General features: G+C 37.1%; 1 protein-coding gene and 1 pseudogene across 7 annotated transcripts in view; both read left to right on the plus strand.

Moving 5' to 3' along the window:
• The window catches only part of DDX4 (DEAD-box helicase 4), a 79,097-nt gene that overhangs the window by 31,445 nt on the left and 31,144 nt on the right, over window positions 1–16,508 (plus strand). For 5 of the 7 annotated variants that reach the window (XM_024446119.2, NM_024415.3, NM_001166533.2 and 2 more), the window contains 6 exons: window positions 10,459–10,560; window positions 11,561–11,641; window positions 12,429–12,476; window positions 15,792–15,839; window positions 15,942–15,989; window positions 16,224–16,366. In XM_024446119.2, the coding sequence (XP_024301887.1) occupies window positions 10,459–10,560; window positions 11,561–11,641; window positions 12,429–12,476; window positions 15,792–15,839; window positions 15,942–15,989; window positions 16,224–16,366 (470 nt within the window). The remainder of the gene's footprint in view (window positions 1–10,458; window positions 10,561–11,560; window positions 11,642–12,428; window positions 12,477–15,791; window positions 15,840–15,941; window positions 15,990–16,223; window positions 16,367–16,508) is intronic. The other 2 variants (NM_001142549.2, NM_001166534.2) reach the window with 2 other exon arrangements.
• RNA5SP183 (RNA, 5S ribosomal pseudogene 183) lies at window positions 7,964–8,082 on the plus strand (annotated as a pseudogene).

Consider the following 16,508-nt stretch of genomic DNA (forward strand, 5'->3'; position numbering starts at 1 on the left):
TCTGATAAATTACTTCAGCAGAATTTCAGGATACAAAATCAATGTACAAAAATCAGTGGCATTCCTATCCACTATATTGTTAAAATGGCCATACTGCCCAAAGCTATTTACAGATCCAATCTACCAATAACATTCTTCACAGAATTAGAAAAAAACAATTTTAAAATTCATATGGAACCAAAAAAGAGCATGAATAGGCAAGACAATCCCAAGCACAAAGAACAAAGCTGGAAAGCGTCACATTACCTGAGTTCAAACTATACTACAAGGCTGTAATAACCAAAACAGCGTGGTACTGGTCCAAAACCAGATACCTAGACCAGTGGAACAGAATAGAGAGCACAAAAATAATGCCTTCTTTTACTTTTTTTTTTTTTTTGAGATGGAGTCTCACTCTGTCACCCAGGCTGGAGTGCAGTGGTGTGATCTTGGCTCACTGCAACCTCCACCTCCCAGGTTCAAGTGATTCTTGTGCCTTTACCCTCTCTAGTAGCTGGGACTACAGGCATGTGCCAGCATGCCTGGCTAAGTTTTGTATTTTTAGTAGAGATGGAGTTTCACTATGTTGGCCAGGCTGGTCTGGAACTCCTGACCCTCAGGAGCTGTCACCTCAGCCTCCCAAAGTGCTGGGATTACCGGCATGAGCCACTGTGCCTGTCCTTGTTTTACTTTCTAATGTCACTGGATCTGTTGGTTGTGGTTTTTTTTTCCCCCCTATGATCTCCAGAATGTGCTATCAATTACAGAAGAGGGACAATGTGAATCTTGGTCAGTTGCAATTTAGATGAACTGGGGATGTCTTTGTCTCTGAATAGAGTCATTGGAAATTTGAGGGGGGAAGAAATTGTAGATTATTTTTTGTTCAAGTCTAGCTGTATTTCACCATACTCTGGTAATTCAGCTTCTATTGAATTTGAGATGAGATTGTATCAAAAATTACCATGCTTAATTCTTGATTATATATGGGCAGTCATGTTAAAATAGCAATGACAACAAAACGTATGAAGAATATAGTGAACTTACTATAAAATTGCTGAGGATGTGCAAATCTATGATAAGAGGTTTTATTGTTTGGAACTACATAGTAATCAGATACATCAGTGTTTTTACCGCACCTTGGAGACATTCTTTTCCTTTGCCCATTAGGTAGGTAGCTGGCTGAATTAGGCCCTCCCTAGTGAAGGTAGGACTTGTGGATTTCATAATGAGGGAAGACTGTCTCCTTAATTACTTCTTATGATAATTGTGGAGAGGGGTGGTGGTGGGGAGAAAGTTAAGCTAAGAAAAAACAAGACTCATCTTTTACCATATTTTTTTTAACAAGCAATTTTTGGCACTTAATGTTCCTAAAACATAGCTCATATTTGAAATTTTTTTCTTCAGACCAGTGAATATCTTTTGTACTATTAACATTTACTTTAAATCAATTTAATTCATATTTAAATGAGGCAGTCGAAACCATTTGCAGCTCTATGTGCTTGGTCCTGACTTACAGATTAGTGTAGGATAATTAGCAGGGGCACAGCCATTTTGCAGGGTATCCCTGATTTCCATTCTCTGTAGATGTATACATTTGAGGATAGGAAGTTTGCATATAGGGGTCACTCAGAAAATACACGTGTGTATATATGTTTATATTAAAATATGTAGACAGGTACACATACCATAAGTGTATAGTTCAATTATGTTTCACAAACTGAACTCACTTGAGTTCAGTGTGTTCACCAGCATTCAGGTCATGAAATACAAATTACTGGCACCTCAAAAGCCCCTTTTCATGTTCATTTTTTACTCACTAATGACTCATTACCCCCAAAACTTCTGTTATGACTTCTAACAGCATACGATAATTTCGTCTATTTTTATACTTGGTATAAATGGAATCATATAGTATGTAGTGTTTTATGTTTACCTTCTTAGTGTGTTTGTTGCAATTGTAGATCATTATTACTGTTTAGTATTCTTTTGTTTTACTGTTTTTCTATTAGTGATAGGTATTTGGATTACCTCCAGTTTGGGGCCATTGTGAAAGTGCTTCTGTAAACATTCTAGTATTCTTTTGGTTGTCATTAGTACATACTCAGAAGAAGAATTGCTAGGTCATAGGCTATATATATTTTTGGCTTTAATAGTATTGTCAAATGTTTTCAGCGTTTAAACTAAGATACACTCACATTCTAACCAATGCTTGGTATTTTCTTTTTCTCTCCTTTTAACCATTCTGCTGGTTGTGTGGTGGTGTACTCATTTTGTATTAAATTTCTATTTTTTTGGACTAATGGAATGTGGAGCACTTCTTATGTTTATTGGCCATTTGGACATCTGGACATCTTTTGTCAAGTCGTTTGCCCATTTTTCTGTTGAGTATCTTTACTTTTACCTTTTTATTTGTAAATGATTTAAAACTTAAAAGTTGCAAGAATAGTACATACAGATAGGCCGGACGCGGTGGCTTATGCCTGTAATGCCAGCACTTTGGGAGGCGGGCAGATCACTTAAGGTCAGGAGTTCGAGACCAGCCTGGCCAATATGGTGAAACCCCGTCTGTACTAAAAATACAAAAATTAGCTGGGCGCATGCCTGTAGTCCCACCTACTCGGCAGGCTGAGGCAGAAGAATCGCTTGAACCTGGGAGGCAGAGGTTGCAGTGAGCTGAGATTGCGCCACTGCACTCCAGCCTGGGCGACAGAGAGAGACTCCGTCTAAAACAAAAAAAAGTAATTGTCATTAATCTGGAGTTTATTTTTGTATATAATGTGGGAATCAATATACATTTTTTTTCCATATAGATGTTCAGTTGACCTAGTATCACTTACTGAAAAGACTGTCCCTTCTGCTTTGCACTACAGGGCTGCCTTTGTCCTAAATTAGGTGGCTTATATATGTGTATCTGTTTCTCTAGGTTTTATTCCGTTGGTCAGTTTTTCTATTTTTGTACCATTGCCCCATAATCTAATTACTGTGGTTTCATAATAGGTCCTGATATCTGGCATTGTAAGTCTTTCAAGTGCTTGTTTTTCAAGTGCTATGGTTTGGATGTTTGTCCTTCTCATGTTGAAATTTGATTCCCAGAGTTGGAGGTAGGGTCTAATGGGAGGTATTTGGGTCATGGGGGCGCAGATCTCTCATGAATAGACCTGTTTCCTTGTGGGGCTGTTGAGTGAGTTGCCTACTAGTTCCCTTGACAGCTAGTTGTTAAAAGGGCCTGGTACCCTCTACTTCCTCTGCATCATATGATCTCTGAACACACCAGCTCCCTTTCACCTTCAGCCATGGGTGGAAGCAGCCTGAGGCTCTTCCCAGATGCCCAGTCTTGAACATTTTCAGATATCAAATCTTGAGCCAAATAAACCTTTTTTTTCATTAATTATCCAGTCTCAGGTATTCCTTTATAACAACACAAAACAAATGAAAAACCTCAAGATTGCCTGTTATTTTTAGTCCTTTGCATTCCTGTGTGATTTTTAGAATGAGCTTAATCAATTTCCAGAAGAAAAAGCTATCTTAATTTGCATTGCTATAACAAAATGCTATAAACTGGGTAGCTTTGTAAACAACAGAAATTTATTTCTCACAGTTCTGGAGAGTCAGAAGTCTGAGATCAAGGCACCAGCAGATTCAGTGTCTGGTGAGGGCCCATTTCCTGGTTCATAGATGGTGTCTTCTCTCTGTGTCCTCACATGGTGGATAAGGCCAGGCAGCTCTCTGGGGCTTCTTTTATAAGAACACTAATTCCATTCATGAGGGCTCTACTGTTGTGTGGTTACATCACATTTGTTTATTCTTCAGCTGATGAATGTTTGAGTTGTTTCCACTTTTGGGCTATCATGGCTAATGCTGCCGTATTCATTTGTGTACAAGTTTTTATGTGAACCTGTGTTTTCATTTTTCTGGAGTATATACTTAGGAGTGGAATTGCTGTGTCATGTGCTAACTCTTAATGTTTAACTTTTTGAGGAACTGCCAAATTATTTTCTATAGTAGCTGTACCATTTTATATTACCACTCTCAATGTTATGAGGGTTCTGATTTCTCCACATCCACCGATACTAGTTATTACTGGTGTTTTTTTAATTATAGCCATTCTACTGAGTATGAAGTGGTATCTCATTGTGGGTTTTTTGTTTTTTTATTTTTTTGAGACAGGGTCTTACTCTCACCCAGGCTGGAGGGCTCTGTCACAATTTCGGCTCACTGCAGCCTCAACCTCCTAGGCTCAAATAATCCTTCCACCTCAGCCCTCTGTGTAGCTGGGACTACAGGCGTGTACTACCATGCCCTGCTAATTTTTGTATTTTTTTAGAGATGGGGTTCCACTACATTGCGCAGGCTGATATTGAACTCCTGAGTTCAAGCAATCTGCCTGCCTCAGCCTCCCAAAGTGCTGGGATTACAAGCATGTGTGCCACAGTGCCCAGCCCTTATTGTTGTTTTGATTGCATTTTTTGATGACTGTGATGTTGAGCAGCTTTTCATATGCTTATTGACCATTTGTATATCTTTGGAGAAATGTCTTTCAGATCCTTCACTCATTTTAACAATTGGGTTGTCTTTTTATGTTCTAAGATTTATTTATATATTCTCAATGTGAGTATCATCAGCTACCTGATTTGCAAATGTTTATTTTTTTTTAATTTATCTAATTTTTTTTTTTTTGTTTTTGAGACAGAGTCTCGCTCTGTCACCCAGACTCTGGGGTGCAGTGGCACAGTCATGGTTCATGACAGCTTCAACTTCCTGGTCTCAAGCAGTCCTCCCACCTCAGCCTCCTGAGTAGCTGGGACTATAGGCATGTGCCACCATGCCCAGCTAATTTCTTTATTTTTTGTAGGGATGGGGTCTCACTGTGTTGTCCAGGCTTGTCTCAAACTCCTGGGCTCAAGCAGTTCTCCCTTCTTGGCCTTCCAAAGTGCTCGGATTACAGGTGTGAGCCACTGCATCTGGCCTGCAAATGTTTAATAACCTCCTGTGGGTTGTCTTTTCCCTTTCTTGATAGTACCCTTTGAAACACTAAAATTTAACATTTTTATCAAACCCAGTTTATCTTTTTATGTTCTTTTGGTGTTATAACTAGAAAACTGTTGCCTAATCCAGAGTCATGCAGACTTTTTCCTTTGTTTCCTTCTAAGAATTTTATAGTTTTAGTTCTTACACTTAAGTCTTTGATGCATTTTGAATTCATTTTTATAGATGGTGTAGGGTGGGGGTCCAAATTCTTTTGCATATGGATACCCAGTTGTTCTAGCACCATTTGTTGATGTTTTATATTGATGTGTCTAGATGTGGATCTTTTTGGGTTTACCCTCCTTGGAGTTGAGCTTCTTGGATTTATAGATTAATAGTTTTCATGAAACTTGGGATATTTTGAGCTTTTTTGTGGTAAGATCTCTATAACATAAAATTCCCATATTAACTATTCTTAAGTGTATAATTTTTGGCATTAAGTGCACAGTATTCTGTCATCACTATCATCACCCAGATAGAAACTTTGTATTCCGTTAGACAACAATTCCCTGTGTACTCCCTTAACCCTGGTCTTTGGTAACCTCTATTCCATGTTCTCTATGAAATTTGTCTATTTTAGGTATTTCATACAAGTGGAATCGTACAATATTTGTCCTGTCGTATTTGGCTTATTTTACTTAGCATCTTGTTTTCAGTGTTCATCCATGTTGTAGCATGCATCAAAACTACATTTCTTTTAATGGTTGAATAATATAATGTATTTACCACATTTTGTTTATCCATGTGACGGACACTTGGATTGTTTCTTCTTTCCGACTATTGTAAGTCCGCTATGAACATTCACCTACAGTTATCTGTTTGAGTCCCTGTTTTCAAATCTTTTGGTTATATACTTACAAGTTGAGTTGCCGGGAGATGGAACTAGGTAAGTTAAAATGCTGCGAAATTTGCTGTTTAAAAGAAAAAATTCCCTGGGTTGCTTCAAGCCTTTTATTGATTTCTAGAGTTTGGAAAAAGTTAATTCTGACAGTTCTTGCCCATTTTTTTCCTTGCCTTTTTGGAGTAGTGGAATTTAGAGTTCCTTACTTGGCCATTTTTGCTGATATCAGTGATACATATCATTTTAGTGTTTTCATTTTATTCATTAGTATGTAGAAATATAATAACTATCTGGTAAGTATTTTTTTAAAAAGTAATAAAAGATGTTCCATTTTCTTTTATACAAAGGTTAGAGGATTTATAAGGTAATTTCTTTCTGAAGATATTGTCACCAAACATCTTTAAGAGTTAGATTGTCAGCTGTCCCTTATGAAATGCAGACTATACCTTCTGGGAGGACTCAGGTTACTTTAAGAAATATATTTTGTTGGCCGGGCGCAGTGGCTCACACCTGTAATCCCAGCACTTTGGGAGGCCGAAGTGGGTGGATCACCTAAGGTCAGGAGTTTGAGACCAACCTGGCCAACATGTTAAAACCCCGTCTCTACTAAAAATACAAAAATTAACTGGGCGTGGTGGTGCAGCCCTGTAGTCCCAGCTACTTGGAGTCTGAGGCAGGAGAATCACTTGAACCCAGGAGGTGGAGGTTGCAGTGAGCTGAGATGGCGCCACTGCACTCCAGCCTGGGTGACCGAACGAGACTCTGTCTCAAAAAACAAAAAACAAGAAAAGGACTCAATTTGAATTTTTAGAAACTTACAGAAAAGAACAGAGTGATTAAAGGTAAAGATTAAACACAGATGAAGAGAATGAATTAATTCAAAGATAAATCTGTGGAAATTCTCTAAACTTGGAAATGGAAAACACGAGAGTGGTTAATAAATAAGGTATGGAAGATAGACTAAGACCTGTGGTTCAACATATGACTGTCTCCTGAGGAGTGGCCAGAAAATGGGAGGAGGACAGGAAAGAAGAATATTCAAAGAGAATAGATGAGACTTTTCCAGAGTTAGAGAGGCACAAGAGTCCTCAGCAAATAAAATTAAAAAATTCATACCCTTATGCATGTATTGAAATTATAGTATTACAAAGATTTTTTAAAACCTATAAAACTACTAGAGAAAAAAGGTAGATTCACCTTTAGAAGAACATTATATTCACAACAGAATTTTCTTCAGTAAAGGTAGATTTCAGAATGTAATAGCATAGTATATTCAGAATGCTGAAGGAGAATAGCTCTGAATCCAAATAACTATATTCAGATAATTAGGTGCCAGGGAGAAATAATGCCATTCAGATAAAAATGGTGTTTAATACTCTCATATTGTTGAGTAAGAACTACTAAATTGTATACAGTAGTAAGACAACTGATTGCAGGAAGAAAGGCATAGGAAACAAGAAGCAATGAGGAGCGAAAAAAAAGATATGTAAAACAGGTAAACATATTGGTAAACTTAAATAAGTATTGACTATATAAACTAGCAATAATGACTATTAATTTAGGGGTTCCAGAAACAAAAGTGAATTAAAATACTAGCAAATGAAAAGACTGAAATTCTTGCCAGCTCAGTTGAAAGGAAAAATATTTCTTAATAAGTAAAATGAAGGGTAATCAGAGAAGGGATAAGATAAAATGTGTAACTTGCTGATGGAGGAAATCCAATAGAAGGACAGAGCTTTGTAGGAAGGAAGGTAGATTGAAAATAGTTTATTTCCTAAATATTCGTGGTGAAAATTGGTAAAAATAAAATACATAGCTTTACCATTTGGGGAAAACAGGACAGAAAGGAGAACAAAAAGCATCGAAAAAACTCTGTAAAGAGAAAACACAAAGATTGTAGAAATAAAAGACCTATGTATCAGTAATCATAATATAGGTAAGCATATTTCAATATGGAGTTGAAAGTAAAGAGGTCAGGCATGGTGGCTCATGCTTGTAATCCTAGCATTTTGGCAGGCCAACATGGGAGGGATCTCTTGAGGCCAGGAATTCAAGGCCAGCCTGAGCAACTAAATCTTGTCTCTACAAAAAAAAATTTTTTTTTTAAATTAGAAAATAGGCTATGGCCATACCACCCTGAACGTGTCCGATCTCGTCTGATCTTGGAAGCTAAGCAGGGTTGGACCTGGTTAGTACTTGGATGGGAGACTGCCTAGGAATACTAGGTGCTGTAGGTGTCGGGGGAGGGCAGGTGGGGGAAGAGAGCATTAGGGAAAAGAGCTAACGCATGCTGGGCTTAATACCTAGGTGATGGGTTGACAGGTGCAGCAAACTACCATAGCACACGTTTACCTATGTAACAAACCTGCACATCCTGCACACGTACCCTGAAACTTAAAAGTAAAGAGAAAAAAGTGTTCAGTAACTCAAAGCTGAATAGAAATAGAGACAAAGTATACTGTAAGGTAGAATTATTAAGGATAAATTCATCAGGAAGACATTATAGTTCTGAACATGGTTCTAATCTAACAATATACTAAGATGCACAAAGGAAAATAGACATAAGGAAAAATTCGCAAATCCTAGTAAGTTGAGACAGCAGAACAGAGATTAATAAGAATATAGAAGATCTGAATGCCACTTACTCAGCTTGATTTAATATTTGTTTGGAATCATATACTCTAAAATTATAAATCATATATTTTTCCAGCATGTATGGAAAATATGTACAATTTGATCATCTTTTAAGGATGACCTATGATAAATATATCATAGGTCATGTTCTCTTATTAAAATAAAAGAAATCAATAAGTCTAACCTTCATGATTTAGAAACTGAATTTCTCAGTTTATGAATAACAGTTCATATGGAAATCCTGAAATATTTAGAATTTAATAACAGTAAGAACAGAGCACATGAAAACTTTGAGGATATAGTTAAAGCAGCTGCCTCTTAGAGGAAATTTTATAGCCTTAAATGCATCAGAGAAAGGATAAAATGTAAAACTTGCTAATAGAGGAAATCTAGTAGGACAGAACTTTGTAGGAAGAAGACTAGATTAAAAATAGTTTAAATATTTCTTTTCTCAGAAAAAATAATGAGTTAAGTGTTCAAGCCAAGTAGTTAGAAGGGAGAAAACTCAAATAAAAAAGGTAGTAGACATAAATGAAATAGAAACAGATACAATAGAGTGTTCAGCAGTAAAAGAAAATGAGGTAGTTTCATATGTCAACAAAGTTGAATAAAAGGAAAAAGACGTGGGGCCAGGCGCTGTGGCTCACGCCTGTAATCCCAGCACTTTGGGAGGCCAAGGTGGGCAGATCACCTGAGGTCAGGAGTTCCAGACCAGCCTGGCCAACATGGTGAAACCCCGTCTCTACTGAAAATACAAAAATTAGCTGGGCATGTTGGTTCATGCCTGTAATCTCAGCTACTTGGGAGGCTGAGACAGGAGAATCGCTTGGACTCTGGAGGCAGAGGTTGCAGTGAGCCGAGATGATGCCACTGCACTCCAACCTGGGTGACAGAGTGAGACTTCGCCTCAAAAAAAAAAAAGATGTGGAAGACGATAAGTTCCATTTAGTTCGTAAAACTCTAACATAACACTAATATGTTGCTTAAGGCTAAGTACATAGTTGATAAAATTAAGAGCAAGGAAATGAAAAACTATTCAGGATATTGGCTTGTTGGATGTTAGTTGGAAGGAGTGCTCAGGGAGAAGAGAAGCATAGGGCAAAAGAAAAACATGGGCTGCAAATATGTTGGAAACATTTTAGTCTTAATCTGGGCAGTGGAGATAAGCTTTCATTTTATTATATTTTTAACTTACATATGTGTTCTTTTACTTTCATGAAAATATACCTTTACAGAAAAGGTTCCAGAAGATACAATTTTTTTGAAGAGTTTTGTTTCATTTTTAAATAGGTTTTAAAATACATATACTCTAATATTCAGAAATAGCATATATAGAATTTATCTTTATTCATCATTCTCTTTAAGTATAAATAGTTGCAAGTTTACAAACGGAACAGTCTTTATTTCCTGCCCAGTTGGCACTTTGGTTTTGCATTAATCTGGTTCTGCCCTATGAGTCTGCCCTATGAGTCTGCTCTATGTGCAATTAAATTTTACTTGAACTGCTTCTACTAATCTTTTGGTATTCAATTCAATTAAAAATTGTTCTTACCTGGAAATCAGACTTTATATGTGCCTGCATGTCTGTGCTTTGAGTAAGATGTTTACTATATTCTATATGGAGCAGATACAAGCCTAGGATTTATTTAATTCTTTTGTGCATTGTGGAAATCCAGTTAATGGTGCAGTTTTGGTGACTTTTAGTGTTTTAATTCAAGTGCTACTTTTTCCTTTAGGTGATTTTTAGACTTGATTCTCAAAGCAAGCAGTGAGGTTTTAAAAAATTGTAGCCATATCTATTTATATTAGTAAAATTGAACACTTAATAGGTCAAAATGTCATTTCTTTTTGACAACAATGCCTTTAAACACTTGTTTAAAGTTACTGAATTATTCAAGGCTTAAATTAAATTTGACCATGTCCCCAAGATTTCTTTGTTGTTGTTTTGTGTTGTTCTTGTGTGTGTTTTAACATTATAGGCTATCGAGATGGAAATAATTCAGAAGCTTCAGGGCCATACAGAAGAGGTGGAAGAGGTAGTTTCCGAGGTTGCCGTGGAGGATTTGGTCTAGGAAGTCCAAGTTAGTACTGGATTTGCAAATGATGTGCTTCATTAACTGTTAAAAAGAAAATGATTTAAAAAAATACGTATCAAAGAAGGTTGTTATGAGGATTATATGAGAATAGCTTAGCTCAGTGACTAATACACATTAATCACCACATTGTATATAACATTATTTTTTAGAGAGATTTGATTGCATATTGGTTAAGTTAAAATATATGAATTTAAAAAATAAGTTTGAGTGACTCAGTACTTTAATATTACATACTGTTCATTGTTTTAGAGCTTTGATAATATGGCTGACCTTATAAACAGGTGACCTTCTATGTGGCTTTACCTCCCCACATACCTTCTTTCACCAGTGTGGCTTTCTACCTTAAATTTTTCCAGCCATCATTTTTTAGAGATAAGGTACTGACTTCAGAGGTCACTGTTGGAATGTATGTGCCTCTTAACAGAGGAGAACAGATTTATGGTTTTGGAAGCTAAAAACATAAATTTGTAATAATGATTTAATAGATGCGTAGCAGACTAGTGAATTGTCACTTTCACAGAAGTTTAGGGATTTTGAAGGGTTACCATGCAGGACTGGTAAGGTTTGATTTGGCAACAGTGGGAGCAAGGGGTGCTATTTTGAAGAATAAGTAGTGAAATGATGCAATGTGAAGTTTCTCAGGCAATTTCTAGAGATTTAACTTGCTTGTATCATATTTTGGCATAGCACTGGCCCTAATTTATTTAACGAAATATTTTAAATACATTTTGAGGAAGTAATTTATCATTGAAGGACATTATTTGTAGAGAATTCCTTTGCACAATACTTAGTTTAACTTGGTTTAATAGAATAGTTTAACTTAGTTTAATAGAATAGTTTAACTTAGTTTAATAGGACAGTATTTTTCTATTTTACCCTGCATCTTTTAACTTCTGATACCATAACTTGATTTTTTTCTGTTTACTGAACGATTAAAAAACTTCTTCAAAGTAATGTAATCTAATTTTACTTTCTGCAAATCAAGATAATGACTTAGACCCAGACGAATGTATGCAGCGCACTGGTGGCCTTTTTGGTTCTAGAAGACCAGTATTAAGTGGCACAGGTGAGAAATAGAACTTATTACTGAATATTAGTTACTGATGTATGTTTTTAGCACTAGGATTAGTAAACCTAATATATATGTTAAAGTATACTAGTTTGGCTTATGATTTTCTCTGCTTTTAGATCTGTAGGTAAAAATATGTGGACAATTTTGTCTCCCTTATAAAATTTGTGCAATGTGAATTATTTATTCTGTGTTATCTACCAGTTAATTTGAGGTGTGAATTATTAACTAGAGGAATAAAGGATTCTGAGTTAGGGGAAAAGGATTTGTGTGAGTTGAAGTGAAAATGAAAACACAATTGATGAAAAATGTTCAAATGAGGTTAAGGTTAAAGTTAAACCTAGAGGCCGGGCGTGGTGGCTCATGCCTGTAATCCCAGCAGTTTGGGAGGCTGAGGCAGGTGGATCACTTGAGGCCAGGAGTTCGACACCAGCGTGGCCAACATGGCAAAACCCTATCTCTACTAAAAATACAGAAATTAGCTGGGCGTGGTGGTATGTGCCTGTAGTCCCAGCTACTCAGATGCCTGAGGCATGAGAATTGGTTGAACCCAGGAGATGGAGGTTGCAGAGAGCCAAGATCACGCCACTGCACTCCAGCCTTGGTGATAGAGTGAGACTTGAAAAAAAAAAAAAAAAAGTTAAATCTAAAATTAAGAGATGGATGGGTTAAAGGACCAGGATTCCTAAGTAATAACTTTGTTGAATAGAAATAACAACATGGTTTGTGTGCTTGAGCAGCAGCTGTGTTTTATCTAAATATGTTGTGAAACAATGCCTTACAGGTAATGGTGATACTTCTCAAAGCAGAAGTGGCAGTGGAAGTGAACGAGGTAAGTTCTTATTTTGTTTACCCGAAAGAAGTTAAAATCATTGTATTCCAAATTTAATTTTTTTCTGTACTTCACTGGTTGGAAACAAATTTAATTTTTGAAGTTAAAGGTAACTGTTATTGCTTTTATACACTGTGAGGACCATAAATTTACACAGCCTGTTTTAGATAGTTCCTTAATACCCTCCAGGTTATTGCCTCTCTGATCCAGCAATTCCATTATAGGAATTATATACTATAGATGTATTTGGAAATAAATGTACAAGGATGTTCACTGAGATGTCATTTATAATAAGTAAAAACTGAAAATCACCTAAAATTCATAAATAAAAAACTGTTTAAGTCCGGGTGCGGTGGCTCATGCCTGTAATTCTAGCACTTTCGGAGGCCTAGGCAGGCAGATCAGAAGGTCAAGATGAGACCATCCCGGCCAACATAGTGAAACCCCCGTCTCTACTAAAACAAAACTTAGCTGGGCATGGTGGTGTGTGCCTGTAGTGCCAGCTACTCAGGAGGCTAAGGCAGGAGAATCGCTTGAATCCGGGAGGCGGAGGTTGCAGTAAGCCGAGATCATACCACTGCACTCCAGCCTGGTGACAGAGCGAGACTGTCACCAGTTTTTTGTTTGTTAAACAAAAAAAAACTGTTTAATAAAATAATAATCATGAAATGAGATGCTGTGTGGAAGTTAAAGACAGATATAATATGTACAAATCCTTATTAAAACAATATGCTTTTTCTTATGGAATAGTTGATTTGGTCTGAAGGATAAAGTTAGCTCAATATATAATTTTTTACTCTTAAAGTTTTTTCTTTTCTTTTTTTTTTTTTTTGAGACAGAGTCTCACTCTGTCACCCAGGTTGGAGTGCAGTGGTGTGATCTCGGCTCACTGCAACTATCGCCTCCAGAGTTCAAGCCATTCTCCTGCCTCAGCCTCCCTAGCAGCTGGATTACAGGCACCTGCCACCACACCTGGCTAATTTTTGTATTTTTAGTAGAGATGGGGTTTCACCTTTGCCAGGCTGGTCTCAAACTCCTGACCTCAGGTGATCTGCCCACCTCAGCCTCCCAAAGTGCTAGGATTACAGGCATGAGCCACTGCGCCTGACCTTAAAGTTTTTTCAAAGTATAAATACTTCAGTGTCATATAAAAGTTAAAATGCTCTCCAGACTAGTAAATCAATGAAGCTTGCTCGATGTATTTGGAAGATTCTCAGTAATTATTATTAGTCTGAGAGAATTCAGAGTGACATTTCCCCCACCCCTGCTGATTCTTGGATTCTTCAATATAGAAAGAGTTTATTAAAGACTAGCTAAACCAAATCTCCTACAAATATTCACAGCCTATATGAAGGAGGATTTCAAGACCTGTGGACATACAAGATAAGAAAATTAGAGTTCACATATAAAAAATGTTACATCTCATTAGCTTTTGAATCTAATGCAGTCATAGTACCTAAAAGTGGAACAACAGATTACTCGTTATCTAAAAACCAGAAAGGTAATATATAGAAAGGAGTTAACAGGCCTGATTGTTCATCAAAAATTCATCAGTAAACGAAATTGAAAATCTTACTTAAAAGGCTGTTCCTTGGCTAGTGTATATTAGTTAGGGTTCTCCACAAAGACAGACCAAAAGGAAGGAGGGAGGAGATGGATGGATGGATGGATGGATGGATGGATGGATGGATGGATGAATGGATGGATGAATGGATGGATGGATGAGAAGGAACTAATTAGGGGAATTGGCTCGTGAGATTATGGAGCCTGAGAAAGTCCTATGATAGGCTGTCTGCAAGCTAAGAACCAGGGAAACCAGTAGTATTGTTCAATTCAAGTCCAAAGGAACCAGTAAAGTTTTTTTTTTTTTTTTAATACTTTAAGTTCTAGGGGACATGTGCACAATGTGCAAGTTTGTTACATAGGTATACATGTACCATGTTGGTGTGCTGCACCCATCAACTCATCATTTACATTAGGTATTTCTCCTAATGGTATCCCTTCCCCTGTCCCCCACCTTCCAACAGGCCCTGGTATGTGATACTCCCCTCCTCGTGTCCATGTGTTCTTATTGTTCATCTCCCACTTATGAGTGAGAACATACAGTGTTTGGTTTTCTGTCCTTGTGATAGTTTGCTGAGAATGATGGAACCAGGGAAGTTGATGGTGTAACTCTCAGTTCAAGGCCAAAGACCTGAGAACCTCTTGGTGGGGCGGAGTCAGGGGGCGGGGGATTGCTGGTACAAGTCCTAGAGTCCAAAGGCCAGAGAACCTGGAGTTCTGATGTCCAAGGACAAGAGAAGAAGGGTGTCCCAGCTCCAGAAGAGAGAGAAAATTTGCCTTTCCTCTGCCTTTTTGTTCTGTCTGGCCCCTAGCCTATTGGATGGTGCCTGCCCAGATTGGATGAGGGTCGATCTTCTTACTCTGTCCACTGATACAAATGCCAGTCTATTCTAAAACACCTTCACAGACATACCCAGAAATAATGGTTTATCAGCTACCTGGGTATCCCTTAATCTGGTCAAATTGACACCGCAAATTAACCATCACAGCTAGCATCTGAAAACTTGGATTTGGGACGGGTTCCCACCATCCTGATTGGTAAGAGCAACTCATTGTGTGTAAACCATTTGTGCATTGTGGTTTTTGCTGAATATTTGCTTTCCTTCTGGGAATCTGGAATTTGGTATGTGCCAGGCAGAAGGTGAGTACATTATTAGCCCCTAATAAAAACCCTGGGTACTGAGTCTCTAATGAGCTTCTGAGTCTCTAATACTCTTCTCTGGTAGAGTTTACATGTGTTGTCACAGCTCATTGCTGGGAGAACTAAGCACATCCTGTGTGACTGCAGTAGAAGACACTTGGAAACTGGTGCCTGGTTTTCTCTGGGTTTTGCCTATGTGCCTTTTCTTCTGCTGATAGTACTCCCTATTTTTTCACTAATAAATCATAACCATGAGTATGACTATATTCTGAGTCTGGTGAGTCTTCCTAGCAACTACTGAACTGGGAATGGTCTTGGGGACACCCCTCCAACACAGGTTCTTTTAGAAAATACATTCCTTTGCTGATTAGGAAAGAAATATAACAGTTTAAACAAAGTGTAGTAATATGTAATAGTCTCCTCTACGTAAAATCATCTTGAATACTACAGAAACTAAAAATGTACAAGGTTCTATTTAATTGTTTCAAGTATTTGTAAGAAGGGAATTTAAAGTTTTTTGGAACTTGTTCTCTTTGAAGACAAGCAACGAAAATAAAGATGTGCACAGCCTTACATCTTGACCGATTGTCACTTATGAATTTCTTTAATAGGTGGTTACAAAGGTTTAAATGAAGAAGTAATAACAGGCTCTGGAAAGAGTAAGTTTTCCTTAAACAAGGTGTTTGATTTTTATAGTGAGAGTTCTTTTACCTTTCAATTTTAAAAAACATGTATCTCTTTTTTATTTGATCCTCTTCAAGATTCTTGGAAGTCAGAAGCAGAAGGAGGAGAAAGTAGTGATACTCAAGGTATATTAACATTTGTGTGACTCACATAGAAGTATGTTGTGTTTTAATAATGCTTAAGTATTTTACTTAAAAACAAAGTTATCTTTTAAAAATTTGAACAGTGAAAACTTTAAAGGTAAGCAGTGGGAAGTTCCATAGTATTTAAAATTTGATCTTGTCAATTTTTGTCTATTTTCTCTTATATTTTCTTGTAGTCTCTGTAACGTACATTATGTTTTTAATTTAAATTCCAAGGACCAAAAGTGACCTACATACCCCCTCCTCCACCTGAGGATGAGGACTCCATCTTTGCACATTATCAGACAGGCATAAACTTCGACAAATACGACACTATTCTTGTGGAAGTGTCTGGACATGATGCACCACCAGCAATTCTGGTCAGTGTATTAATTGTTTCTGTATTAGCTATGTAGCACACTTTGCCTTTAAAATACATTATGTAGTTTGTAAAGCTGATATCAACACATAGATTTCACCTTTCGTATATAAGGTCTTAGGTTGGAAATTTAGAATGATGTC

The sequence above is a fragment of the Homo sapiens genome, chromosome 5 (genome assembly GCF_000001405.40).
Source record: "Homo sapiens chromosome 5, GRCh38.p14 Primary Assembly".
In the NCBI taxonomy this organism is placed as follows: domain Eukaryota; kingdom Metazoa; phylum Chordata; class Mammalia; order Primates; family Hominidae; genus Homo; species Homo sapiens.